This window comes from Homo sapiens, chromosome 15, assembly GCF_000001405.40.
Source record: "Homo sapiens chromosome 15, GRCh38.p14 Primary Assembly".
NCBI lineage: Eukaryota > Metazoa > Chordata > Mammalia > Primates > Hominidae > Homo > Homo sapiens.
The window spans coordinates 21,484,942-21,499,080 of NC_000015.10; the positions used below are offsets into that span (position 1 = coordinate 21,484,942).

The 14,139-nt window shown below is 36.9% G+C and overlaps 1 long non-coding RNA gene across 1 annotated transcript in view; it reads right to left on the minus strand.

The window, feature by feature from the left end:
- LOC105369227 (uncharacterized) overlaps nt 1-13,339 on the minus strand; it is a 31,295-nt gene extending 17,956 nt beyond the window's left edge. Inside the window, exons 1-5 of the long non-coding RNA XR_007064502.1 lie at nt 13,287-13,339; nt 11,924-12,012; nt 10,541-10,651; nt 9,165-9,310; nt 5,421-5,528 (exon numbers count right to left, since the gene is read on the minus strand). This is a non-coding gene — a long non-coding RNA (uncharacterized LOC105369227). The remainder of the gene's footprint in view (nt 1-5,420; nt 5,529-9,164; nt 9,311-10,540; nt 10,652-11,923; nt 12,013-13,286) is intronic.
- Nucleotides 13,340-14,139: the final 800 nt, after the last annotated feature.

Below are 14,139 nucleotides of genomic sequence, written 5' to 3' on the forward strand. Positions count from 1 at the left end.
ATTTTTGTATTTATTTTCAGTTGTTCGCTTATTCTGTCTTGTTTCCTTTAATTCCACCAACCACAAACAGAAGTTGTTTTACATACAGCTTTCTTATTGTTGCAAATACGTGATTAGAGTTTCAGATGTGTCATCTGCTTACTAGCTACTAGATTCTAACTATTCATAACTGCACTCCTTAATCTTTTCCTTTCTTGCTAACCTTCTCTATTAACATTTCTTTATTGAAACTTTGTTGGTCTTAAATGCTCTTAAGTCTTAAAGATTATATTTTTCTGTAAATGACTACCTCAATTTTATTTATTTATTTATTTATTTTTGAGACAGAGTCTCACTCTGTCGCCAGGCTGGACTGCCGTGGCGTGACCTCGGCTCACTGCAACCTCTGCCTCCCAGGCTCAAGTGATTCTCCTGCCTCTGCCTCTCAAGTAGCTGGGATTAGAGGCACCTGCCACCACACCCGGCTAATTTTTGTATTTTTAGTAGACACAGGGTTTCACCATGTTGGCCAGGCTGGTCTCAAACTCCTGACCTCAGGTGATCTGCCTGCCTTGGCCTCTCAAAGTGCTAGGATTACAGGCATGAGCCACCACACCCGGCTCTCACCTTCATTCTTGAAATACGACTCTACAGTTCTTCATTGGTAATGATTATTGCCACTGACTCTCCTTCATGGTGGTTTGTTTCCTCTGTCTACAATTTTCCCTGGAACCTCTGCTGCTCCTGGTATGCACCACTCCAAACTCACTGAGGCCAGACTCTGAGGACACGCCCATCTTTTGTAGTCACTCTCGTGATTGTCGTTATTTGATGAATTTATTTTTTAAATTAATTAATGTATTTTTTTGAGACAGAGTCTTGCTCTGTTGCCCAAGATGGAGTGCAGTGGCGTGATCTCAGCTCACTGAAACCTCCGCCTCCCAAGCTCAAGCGATTCTTCTGCCTCAGCCTCCCGAGCAGCTGGGATTACAGGCACCCACCACCAAGCCCAGATAACTTTTGTATTTTTAGTAGAGATGGGGTTTCACCACGTTGGCCAGGCTGGTCTCGAACTCCTGACCTCGTGATCTGTCCACCTCAGCCTCCGAAAGTGCTGGGACCACAGGCGTGAGACACCCCACTGGCCATGAATTTATTTTATGGAAGAAGATAAACATACTAAAGATTTCATAATTATTTTTCACTAATGTTATACTAACAAGAAGTTACATTATTAAATAATTGCACTAATACTGGTGCTCAATATTAGATAGTGGTACAGTTACTTTTTTGTTCCTCCCATATAAATTTCTCAGCTATGAATTTGTCTTGCCACAAAAGAGGCCTAAAGGATAAATCTATTCAGGCAGATTTGAGAAGAGTAGTTGACTCCCCCAAAATACACATTTTCCTATTTCAACATCATTGTTAATGAAATGAAGTGGCAGTGCTCACCTGGAAGAAAACACTTGCAAAACATACATCCAACAAAAGATCTGTAACCAAAATATACAAGAGCTCTTACTGTTCAATAGTAAGACGATAAATCACCCTAATAAAAAATAGGCAATGGTTTAAACAGATGCTTCACCAAAGAAGACATACAGACAGAAGCAAGCACAAGAAAAGATGCTCTAGATTGGGCGCCGTGGCTCACGCCTATAATCCCAGCACTTTGGGAGGCCAAGGCGGGTGGATCACCTGAGCTCAGGAGTTCGAGACCAGCCTGGCCAACATGGTGAAACCCTGTGTCTACTAAAAATACAAAAAATTATCTGAGCATGGTGGCAGGTGCCTGTACTCCCAGCTACTTGGGAGGCTGAGGCAGGAGAATCGCTTGAACCTGGGAGGTGGAGCTTGCAGTGAACGAAGATCGCGCCACAGCACTCCAGCCTGGGCGACAGAGCAAGACTCAGTCTCAAAAAAGGATATATATAATGATATAGCACTGCATATGTATCAGAATGGCTAAAATTAAAGATGGACCATACCAAAGCTGGTCAAGATATAGAGCCACTGAAACTCTCATACACTACTGCTGAAAATGGAAAATGGTTCAACTGCTTTGGGAAACAACTTGGCAGTGTATTAAAAAGTTGAGCATGCACTTACCATATGCACTAGGCATTCTACTACCAGGTATTTAGCCAAGAGAAACAAAGGAATATGCCTACAGAAAGGCTAGTTCACTACTGATCATAGTCACATTGCTTGATACTTGAGGTCCACAGGAGCAGTAATAGTGACTAAAATTCACTGAGATTTACTAAGTTCCAGGTATTACTTTCATATATTAATTTGTTTAATCTTCATTAACATTTCCATGAGGAAGCAGTGAGGGAGGAAGGACATCTCTCTGGCCAGCCAAATTCCTGGCCAGCCAAATTCCCTTAAGTCAACCATCAATCACTTACCATCGAGGTCAAGTTCATCCTCCTCCAAGGGAAGGCTGAAGATACTGATGGCGGCTCAGTTATGGTATCTCTCAGGGAAGGGAAAAAACTGGCTTCTTCCCTAGAGAGTGGGGCCGTGATCAATGTGGCCATGATTAATGACACACATGTCCTTTTCATGATGAGTTTCATGGTGCATCGCATGCTAGCCTACAGACTGTACCTTTCCACTCTTCCTGTTTCACTTTGCAATGATATTCACTAGAAAAAGGATCTTTTTATGGGCTAACAGGCAGCCAATCTTCCAGCAAATGAACTGGGTCACTTAATGAAGAACCATAAGTTGTCATCAATAGTGATGCAGACTTCTCAATGATCAGGTTTGCAGGTTTACAAAGACAGATCAGTAGTTCTTCATGACAAAGAACAGTAAATGATTATGATCAAAATTGTATTCTTATAATCTAAAACACCAATATTGTCTTTCTTTTTCTTTTTCTTTTTTTTTTTTGAGACGGCGTCTTTCTCTGTCACCCAGGCTGGAGTCCACTGGCGTGATCTCAGCTCACTTCAATCCCCGTTTCCTGGGTTCAAGCAATTCTCCTGCCTCAACCTTTCAAGTAGCTGGGAGTACAGGTGTGTGCCACCACGCCCAGCTAATTTTCTGTATTTTTAGTCCAGACGGGGATTCACCATGTTTGCCAGGCTGGTCTCAAACTCCTGACCTCAGGTGACCCACCCACCTTGGACTCCCAAAGTGCTGAGATTACAGGCATGAGCCACTGCACCTGGCTAATGCCTTGCAGTACACATCTAAAGAGAGCATTTGACTTTATCTAACCAGTGCTTGACTCTGAAATCTGTTAACTGTATGTCTTCTATGTCTGAAAGTATAAGTATTTTTTTTCCAATTCCTATGCTAAGTGCTCTATTTACTTCCTTATCTCATGTGAACCTTACAAACCATACGAACGTATTTTTTAGAAATTTTCCTTGAAACTTTAAGAAAGCAAATGGCAATGTGGTGTGTGCTTTCTTAAACTTCCTTAAAACTTTATTCAGTGTATCCTCTTCCCAGCCTCACTTTTTGTGACTCTTGGCAATGACTGCATCTTTCACACCATAGAAAATAACCTGCTCTGAAACATCAACGCTCACAAGCTGGTCTTACCAGAACCTCCATGAACCAAATGCTGCAAAGAAGCCTCAGAATCACAGATGCATAACATCTAGCTAGCCTGATAACATTACACAGCTGTTTATTTTTTATTTTTATGTCTATTACTTTTAGTGTAGCAGTTTTCTTATACTCAAATGTCTAAACATTGAAAACTCAGCCAATGCAAAGCTATACAACAAACCCTTTGACAGCCTTCGCACATTTGAACAGTATTATTTTTCTTAAATGAGCCAATTCTGAGACACAAATTTCATAATTCTTGAAAGATTTTCTTCCACAATAGAAATTTTGGTTAAAATGATTTATTTGACCCGAATCAAATTATGGAATTATGTTCTAAAACTAACTGTATTACATTTATTACATCTATTGGCCCTCAAGCCAAAATTCTGCCAGCATTTCTCGTCTTCGTGCTGTGCTCACAAGGACCAGCAGCATGTGCTAATACTGACTGTCTGCCCAGTAACATGCTAGAGTATGAGGAAGGCACCTCAGGCACATGGAGGCAATAGCTGCAACTGGGTCAAGGCACATGCCCTATTTCTTCATCACTCACACACTCAGAAATCCACAATGGGGAATATGCATTTTGCATGGAAGAAGAAAAAAATGACTCAATCCTAGCTAGGGGGATTCCCACCTCACTCCCTCACAGCACTCTCTACCCAACCACCTTCCCTCGCCACACTCAGACATGCTCACACCTACACACAAGGATGATCTGGCCACTTCTCCCATTAATTCACCACTCCTAGAAAAACTGTATTTGGCTTAACTTTATCAAGCTGTCTGGCTGCCTGAAGATTTATAGATGTCAAAATAAAAAACTAATTACAACTCGGAATACCGCAGTAGCACCTGATTTAATGTCTAAGGCAGCAGGCCAGTGAACATACTGAGAAAGGAGAACCCTCACACACTCTCCATAAAGGAGCCATGATGAGGATCAGCATGGAGGATCCTCAGAAAACTAAAACTAGAGTTACTATATGCCCACAATCCCACTGATGGGTATACATCCAAAAGAAAAAAAACAATATATCAAAAAGATATCTGCACTCCCATGTTTATCTCAGCCCTATTCACAACAGCCAATATATGGAGTCAACCTAAGTGCCCATAACAGATGAATGCATAAAGAAATGTGGTATGTATACACAATGGAATACTATTCAGCCATAAAAAAGAATGGGATCCTGTCATTTGCAGCTACAAGGCATAACTGGGGATCATTGTGTTAAGTGAAATAATCCAGGCACAGAAAGAAAAATATTACATGTTCTTAGTCATATGTGAGAGCTGAAAAAGTGGATCTTATGAAGACAGAGAATAAACTGATGATTACCAGAAGCTGGGAAGGATTTGGCAGGGGAGGGCTCAGGAGGCTGAGGCAGGAGAATTGCTGGAACCCGGGAGGTGGAGGTTGCAGTGAGCCAAGATCGTGCCATTGCACTCCAGGCTGGGGGACAAGAGCGAGACTTCATCTCAAAAATAAAATCATAAAATAAAATAAAATTGAAAAAAGTTCCCGGTTATCATGTTGTTGAGTAGTACTTAATCAGAATATACTTGAAAACAAAAGATTCTTTGTGGTTTTTTAACTCTTGGTAATTAATCCATTTTAGGCAGTCTTAAAAAAATGATGTAGGACAGGGAAACCAATATGAAATGGGTAGTCTGAAAAGCAGTTATTAGATATTGACCATCATTTTAGGAAAGGCAGGCTATTTACCCCACTATATGCTCCCAGGTAAACTTGTCTTCAATTCCTGTTAAGTCAAACGGGAAAAACCAAACTTGCCATCTCTCTATATTTACTATCATTTAAAAAATTCTGTTAAGAGACACCAAAACATAGTATTTCGTACCTCCTTGCAACATAAAAAATTGGCTTCCCAGCTTTGGAATTCCCAGCTTGGTAAAAAATACTTAATGTTTTCAAAGCCTTGATCTCTTCTTTTTCACATACCTGATGCCTAAAAGAAAAAGAACAGGGTAACTGTGAGGCTTTGTGTTGTCTACTGAGTATGTAAAACAGCCCATAATTGGATAAACAATAAAATGCTAAAATGAAAAATTATTTTAAAAGCAACAGGCATTCTAAAGGGTAATTTGACAACATGCACAAAAAATCTCAAGATATTACTCTTTGAACCACAAAAGCACTTTTAGGACTATTCTAAGAGAACTACTGGATGAGGATATTAACCATAGGATTGTTTTTACTCATGACTTCTTTGTGTCAGACAGAAGTTTATGATTTTTTAACGAATTCATTTTATTAATCTTTTCCTTTCTAGTTTATGGATTTTGAATGGATGAAAAAGGCCTTGCTTTGCCCATGTTTTTTTTTCTTTCTGATTTATGGGAGTCTATCCTCATAAATGGTATGAAAATATTTTTTCAGATCATTACTCAGTTTTATCAACACCATTTATTGAAAGTCCATCCTAATCTTGATTTCAAATACCACTTTTATCATATATTATGTTCCCATATGTATTAAAGCCTGGTTTACTTTTTATATAGTCTGCTCAAGACTCAGTGTGCTTCTTTAACTTCAAGATTAATGTCATTCATCAACTCTAGAAAACATTCATCCTTTACCCTTTCAAATATTACTTCTTCCCATTCTCACTGAGCTCAATTTCTAGGGAACACCTACTAGACATATTTTGGAACTTCTCATTCTATCTTCTGCATCTCTTAATCTCTTTCATATTTTCCATTTCTTTGTCTGTAATGACTGTATGCTAGGTAATTTGCTTAGAAACTACCTTCAGCTATAAACTTAATTAATTAATTAATTAACAGATGGAGTTTTGCTCTTGTCGCCCAGGCTGGAGTGCAGTGGCACGATCTCAGCTCACTGCAACCTCTGCCTCCCAGGTTCAAATGATTCTCCTGCCTCAGCCTCCCAAGTAGCTGGGATTACAAGCACCCGTCACATGCCTGGCTAATTTTTATTTTTATTTTTTTTTTAGTAGAGATGGGGTTTCGCCATGTTGGCCAGGCTTCTCTCAAACTCCAAACCTCATGTGATCCACCTGCCTCAGCCTCCCAAAGTGCTGGGATTATAGGCGTAAGCTACTGCACTCTTCCTAATTTTTTTTAAGTATACATGTTTTCTTTTACACTTAGTGTATCTATGAGTATTGTGATTTGGGAAGGAGACTGTATTAACTCAGCCCATCATGCTGCTGGTACCAGGTCAGCATTTTAAAAATATTAATGGAAACAACCTAGATATCATTTGATAGGAGAAAAACATATACATGTGCATAGATAAATGACTGGGAGACTATACACCATACGTTAACTGAATTATTTCTGAGCAGGAGGATAAACAATTTTTAATTTTTTTTTACTTTCTTTAGATTTCTATATTGAGTAATTCAATAATTTTTTTTAAATAACAGAATATTGGCTGGGCATGGTGGCTCATGCCTGTAATCCCAGCACTTTGGGAGGCTGAGACCGGTGGATCACCTGAGGTCAGGAGATCGAGGCCATCCTGGCTAAAACGGTGAAACCCTGTCTCTACAAAAAATACAAAAAATTAGCCAGGCATGCTGGCGAGCGCCTGTAGTCCCAGCTACTTGGGAGGCTGAGGCAGGAGAATGGCGTGAACCCAGGAGGCAGAGCTTGCAGTGAGCCGAGATCATGCCACTGCACTCCAGTCTGGGCAGCAGAGCGAGATTCTGTCTCAAAAAAAAAAAAAAAAAAAACTGAGGCTATTATAAAGCTACCTTCATTTTTTTAAAACAGAAAATGGGTCTCCAAAAGCATCAGTGGGAATTTAGAACAAAAATAAGATCTAACATTTATTAAACACTTTACAAGTACCAGATACTGTCCTAAGTATACTATATATATTAGATCACATAATCTTCAAAAGCACAAAAGACTGCTTTGTAAGGAAAGGTAGGATCTTAGAAAAAAAGGAGTAATAAAAACATTTTCCTAGAAAAATAGAAAAATGGCCAGGATGTCCTCAGTGATGTTAAATTTAAAAATTGTTTGTTTTGATGTACTCATCTTTATATGTATTTCTATTTACTTATTTTTTTTACTTCTTTTAATTTATATTTTTACTTATTTCTTTATTTATAGACAAGTCTCATTCTGTAGCCTAGGCTGGAATGCAGTGGTGCATTCACAGTTCACTTCAGCCTTGAGCAAACCTCCCACCTCAGCCTCCCAGGTAGCTGGGACCACAGGTACGCACCACCACACCTGGTTAATATCTTATTATTTGTAGAGATGGAGTCTTGCTATGTTGCCCAGGCTGGTCTCAAACTCCTGGCTCAAGCAATCCTCCTGCCTTGGCATCCCAAAATGCTGGGATTACAGACATGAGCCACAGTGCCCAACCTATTTATTTATTTATTTAAGACAAGGTCTCACCATGTTGCCCAGGCTGGTCTTGAACTCCTGGTCTCAAGTGATTCTCCAACCTTGGCCTCTCAAAATGTTGGGATTACAGGTATGACCCACCATGCCTGGCCTAAAAATAGTATTATATTTTTGTATTATATAATTTTCAATTAGGTAATATGAATATTCTGTACAGAAAATATGCCCTTAATTACATAGGAATAAACGTTTGCTACACTAAGAAAAATCTAACAAAGCTAAAAATAAAAATTAATTTGGAAAGTACATTATATACCCATACATTCTTATGTTTATACATTCTTTCATATATTCATATATTCTTTTAACAGTATCAATGGTTTGGAGTTATGTGTACAAAACCATGACCTATATGTAATACAACTAACAACAGGCACTTACAATTCAAGGCATATGATATACAAAGCTTTAACTTCTCATCATCAGATTTTGTTTTTTTCTTTCTGTTTTGGCAGATACTGTGAACACAACATTCAACTCACAGACACTATGGAGACCTTACTAAGCATAAGGTACTGTGAAATGTACTTTAAAAGATTCAGCAAACTACTCTCACTGTATCATCATAGAGTCAGTGTCTAACCATGAAGATCTTTTTGTTCACAAGCTAAATGCCATGAAATGGGATTCAAAACAAATGTCCACAGAAATTTTATAGCAATACTGAAGTAGACTATATTTTCTGAGCCTTAATCTAAAAGAAGTTAAAACCATTCATCTTTATGAGGGTTCTGAAAAGTGTTATAGTGTAGTAGAAAAGTTCTGCACTTAAAACCAAAAGACCTATGAATCAGGTGTGGGATCTCACACAAGCCAGTTATTCACACTGAGTTGCATTTTCCTTAACTATCATCTGAAAATAATGTTTTCTTCATTCCCTGGTAGGTATTAAATGTGAAAACTTATGAAAGCAAGATGATAAAATATGATTTGTTACTACTATTATGGCAATCAACATATAAAACATATTCTTTATATATATATATATATATATATATATATATATATATATATATATATATATATATATAAATAATATATAGAATAGGAGAAAAGTTGGGTCCCCAAACATGGCAATGTGATTATTAGATGCATCTTTCCTCATAGTCTTCTATCATATCTAACAAGTGGCCTAGTGGTAAACTCTGCTTCTCAACCAAAAAGAAAGCAGTCTACATTTCAAGGTTGTACTTTACCTCATCATAAATTCCTCAAACTTTTAACTGGTAAGGTTAAGGCTGGACCGGTATGTATCTGCCACAGGTTTGTGCTCTGGAGGACCGAGGTATACAAGAAGTGTTGCCATTTATCAAAAGGTCATCTTCCAACAGCTTTATGATCCCTAGATATAGCAAACTACTTAGAAAAAAGTAGCAGTTCACATTTAGCAGTACACATTTCTTTAACTTGTAACTGTTGCTTTTCCTTTAACTGTCAGCTGGTGGTCCCTGTTGATTTGTAAACAGCACCCAAAAGACCTCAGGCCCATGTCTACTTCAATCCATTAATAATGCATAAAAGATTAAAATGCTCTGTGGTTTAAACTCCCATCTCCCAATTGCTTACCCTTAGCTTCATAGTCCACTACTTTTCCTGTGAATGTGCTAACCACTTTTATTGGCATTTAAAAATAATTTGGACTCATTTTTCCTTTGTAAGGAACTCCTCATACTTAGGAATTTTGTCCCTTTACAAGTTTATATAACTAGATGGGACAGCAAGTAATTTATGTTAACACAAGAGACTAATAAGAGCTAATGAAACAATGCCCAAATTAATAATTTCAATTTTTAAGTATTTTTTCTTTTTTTTTTTTTCCCCTGAGATGGAGTTTTGCTCTTATGGCCCAGGCTGGAGTGCAATGGCACAACCTCGGCTCACTGCAACCTCCGCCTCCCAGGTTCAAGTAATTCTCCTGCCTCAGCCTCCCAAGTAGCCGGGATTACAGGCGCCTGACACCATGCACAGCTAATTTTTGAATTTTTAGTAGAGATGGGGTTTCACCATGTTGGCTAGGCTGATCTCGAACTCCTGACCTCAGGTGATCCACCCACCTCGGCCACCCAAAGTGCTGAGATTACAGGCATCAGCCACAGTGCCAGGCCAGTATTTTCTATATAAAGCTTTATTTGCATATACTTAGAGTATCACAAATGAGTTTATCATAGAATTGAAACACTGACAATATTTTAATTACTGAATTCCTATGAATTAGCTGTTCTTCAGATTCAAATGCCAACACTAATTTGAACTTCTTTGGGTCTATGACAGTTTGCAAGCCATACAAACCCAAAGAGCTAATCTGTGATTTCTTAACTTGAGAAAATAATAATAATAACCACCACTGGAACCTACATAGGTTTGTTGATTATTTAACATGACTTAACCTTTCGTTTGTATTTTTTTGAAAAAAAAAAAAAAAAAAAAAAAAAAAAGACTTTCTCTTTCTAAACCATAATTCTTAGTCCAAGAAGATGCAAAGTTTTTAAAAAGCACTATTCATGACCAATAATTTTATTGATCTAAATTAAAATGGAGAATGTTCACTATCCTCATGACTGGGAAATCTTACCTGTTGTTAGAAAGACACTGGCCAATTTTCTCCTGATTGTTCCGGAGTAGATGATGTAAAGCGAGCACATTGCCGTCACTGCTGAAGGAAAGGCTATGATTTACTGCATCACTTGTAGGACAATCAGATGCCATATCAAGAAAAAACATTAGAAAATGCAAAGTCACTAGAATTTTCAACACCAGAGACACACCATACTTATGTTTGAATTAAATTTATACGAAGTAACTTTGTGAAGCAACTGAGATGACAATTACAAATATGGAGGGCTTGTTCCCACAACGTGATTTGTCATTAGACAAAGTAAAAAGGACAAGGAGAAAGTTGGCTTTCCATTTCTGATACCTGGCTTCAGCTTCTGTAGTTAAAGAACAGCAAAATTGAGATGGATGAAACTTTGGAAAGAGGCTGGTATTTTACAGATAAGGAAATGAAGGTCCAGACAAAAGACCTCCCCAAAGATATATAGCCTGTTAGGTCAAAGCCAGTATTAAAACTTTGTTCCTTTTAACTTTCTTTGGGCCCTCAGTCTGCCAGAATATGAATCCTGTGCTGACATTCACTCTCTTTCCAACATGGCTTGTCATTCAGCAATATACCTTTTAAACTCCAATTTTCCTAAAAGAATAAAAGTCAGTAACAATTACAATGATGATAAACTGGAAGAGAGAGTTGTACAAGGCTAGCTTAGATGATAAGGATCAATTAGATTCACACTGCATGAAAAGCAGAATTCCAGACATAAATTTACAAAGCACTTTCTTATGAATTATCTCATTTTTTCTCTCTAAAAACAACTCAGGCAAAGAGTTTATCCCCACTTTACAGATAAACCAATAACTCAGAGAAATAAAGTGAAATAACTGGTTATGGAAATCCAGCAGAAAAGTTTTCTAAAATCATAAAGTTCAGTTACTCATGAACAAAATCTTACGTGTTTGCATTACTTGGTTTAAAGAATAACATTTTAGTTTAGATACACTTCCAAATTTAAGTATCACAAATATTCTGATACTAATAAAAACCTTATTAAACATTCTTATGCATTATCAATACCAATTTGGTTTTAGTTTTAAATAAAAGGAATCCTATTTCTTCCTTATCCCCATATTGTACCATCCTCAAATCCTTTATTTAACTAGACATGTCCAAAATGCCTCTTGGTTTTCAAATATGAAAATCACTACCAAATTATAAAAAATATTAATTTATTTCAAGACTGTCTTTTATAGTAAAATAAAATAAGGCAAGCTATGTCTTGACCTAGAGCAGGAAGAGAAAAAAACCTACACGGAACTTCATGTAAAACAGGTACATGGATTTATGTGAAACTGAAAATATTTGATTCAAACAGAGCAAGTGAATAAGTGGCAAGTAGCTTACCTTCAAGCTGCATCAAAGCTGCTTTTCACAAAATCATTGAAAGGCCGCATATGCTCTTCTTTTGTGAAGAGAACATGATTGGCAATACTCTGAAGTATTTACACAATAAAACAGGGTTATAAATAATCAGATTATTTATTGTATGAAGTTTATACATTAATATATTCTTTAAAAATATGAATTTTCTTGATATAATTTCTGCTAGTAGTTAAAATCAATCATTTCTCATTCTATATTTTAGGTAGTGTTTCTATTCTTCCTAATTATAATTATATTTACATGTACAAATACATATTAAAAATGTTTAATGTCTTAAAATAAAAAATCCTACAGCCTTCACTGTAGTCTGTTTCAGAATGTCTAGAATGATTACGCAAAAAATGATCCTCATGACACAAGACATCTGCTATAATAAAACGTATTCTCATGAAAATAAGGTCCATCAGGTACCTAACTAATGAATTCCTTTGTAATATAAACAAAATAAAAACACATAACTGAAAACCGTAGGGTATTTCCAATATAAATGTAAGAGGAAGTACTGTAAGAAAAGCTGAAAATTTAGTTGGAAGGGGAATTTAAGATAGCTAGATTATCAAAATAATTCACCTTTGACATTAACTTCAAGCCCCTTCCGATTCTAGGTGGTGGCTTTTTATCTAAAATCCCTGCTTCATACAGTGAGACAATATCAGGATTCATAAATCTGAGGAACATGGCACTTCCTGCTGCACTGATACTGTTCTGAGGGAAACGTTGGCTAACCCCCTAAAAACAAGTTGAGACTTGAGTATAAGGTTTGAATTAAAATAGGGGCATGGGAACAAAGAGTTCAAAGGTCAACATTTGCACAACAACTCTGAGTCAATCAGTCCTCATGAATGACACATTTCTATTTTTTCTTCTCCCAAAACATGAGAAAATAAAGTTTCCTCTCAATTCTAGTCTTGTATCATATTAAAGTACAATTTAGGTATCTCAGAGGAAAGAAAAACCTCATGGATGAGATGGGTAGAAGAAACCTGAAAACAGATCTTCACTGTATCATCACCTATACTGCAAGTTTGAGGAGTCATGAAAACAGACCAAATTTTCACACAAAGATGATCATAATTTATTAAGATTAACAGACATGAAAGTGTGGTCAACATTATAAGGTGAAACTAAATTTTCAACAACACACCCCCAAAACATCCTATACCTGATAGTACATATTTATGTTTTGTTGTGTACCAGTTACAACTGAATTGAAGAAAAAAATGCTTGCTATAAAAAAACAAAATCTTAGATTCCTATTGAGGAAAAAAAACTTACTTACAAGTAATGTTATTGCCTGTTGCCAGCTTCCTTTATAACAACCTACCTATTATTTGAACCATGGAGGGATGGGAATTCTTGGGCACCTAAAAGAAAAAAGGATCTCAGCAGAACAGCGAACCCCTATGTCTACCTCAATGTATAATTCTGTCAAATAAAAATAATTTAAGAATTCAAGAAATGGTTGTCCAGCCTGAAAAGTAATGTGAACCCAATATTTAAAGTGGATTGATTTTCTCTTTATAAAACATTCTACATTAAGATAAAGTAAAAGGTACCTTAGACTGGGAAGAGTGCCATAAAATGGGTTCAGCCCCCATCCCTTCCCAGTGTCCCCTGCTTTAAATCATGTTATAGATGAAAATTATATTATTTTGGAATTTACATTTTTATATATACCATATATATTCATTTTTAAAGAACACTTAATGTAACATTTTAATCTCTACAGCTATTCTTGCTTAGTGTGGCTAACTGCTGTTTAAAGTAGCAGTGATTACAAAACTGTAGCATTCCACTCAATGTTTTGTGATTCCGAGGATAAACCTTCCTTTCAAAGGATATTGGTGTGGGGGACCCAGATTTACATGCAGAATATCACGTAACTATTTTTTGCACAATGCCTCAATAAATTAATATTTCCTGTCCTAAATTCACATGGCTGACTCCAGATTAACTCTGGAATCGGGATTATTTCACTTCATCCTGTTCAACGCAGTGCTTCATGAAGTCCACATTTTAAATGCATTCTTATCACTGCTTATAATCTCAAAATAGCTTTCTGTAATCTCTAATAGGAAGTTAGTAAAAATTAGATCTTAGAGAATAAAGTATTTGTAAGCGGTGAGGTGTAACAATATAGTCCCACCTTCAGTTACACTACACACAGTTCAGGAAGC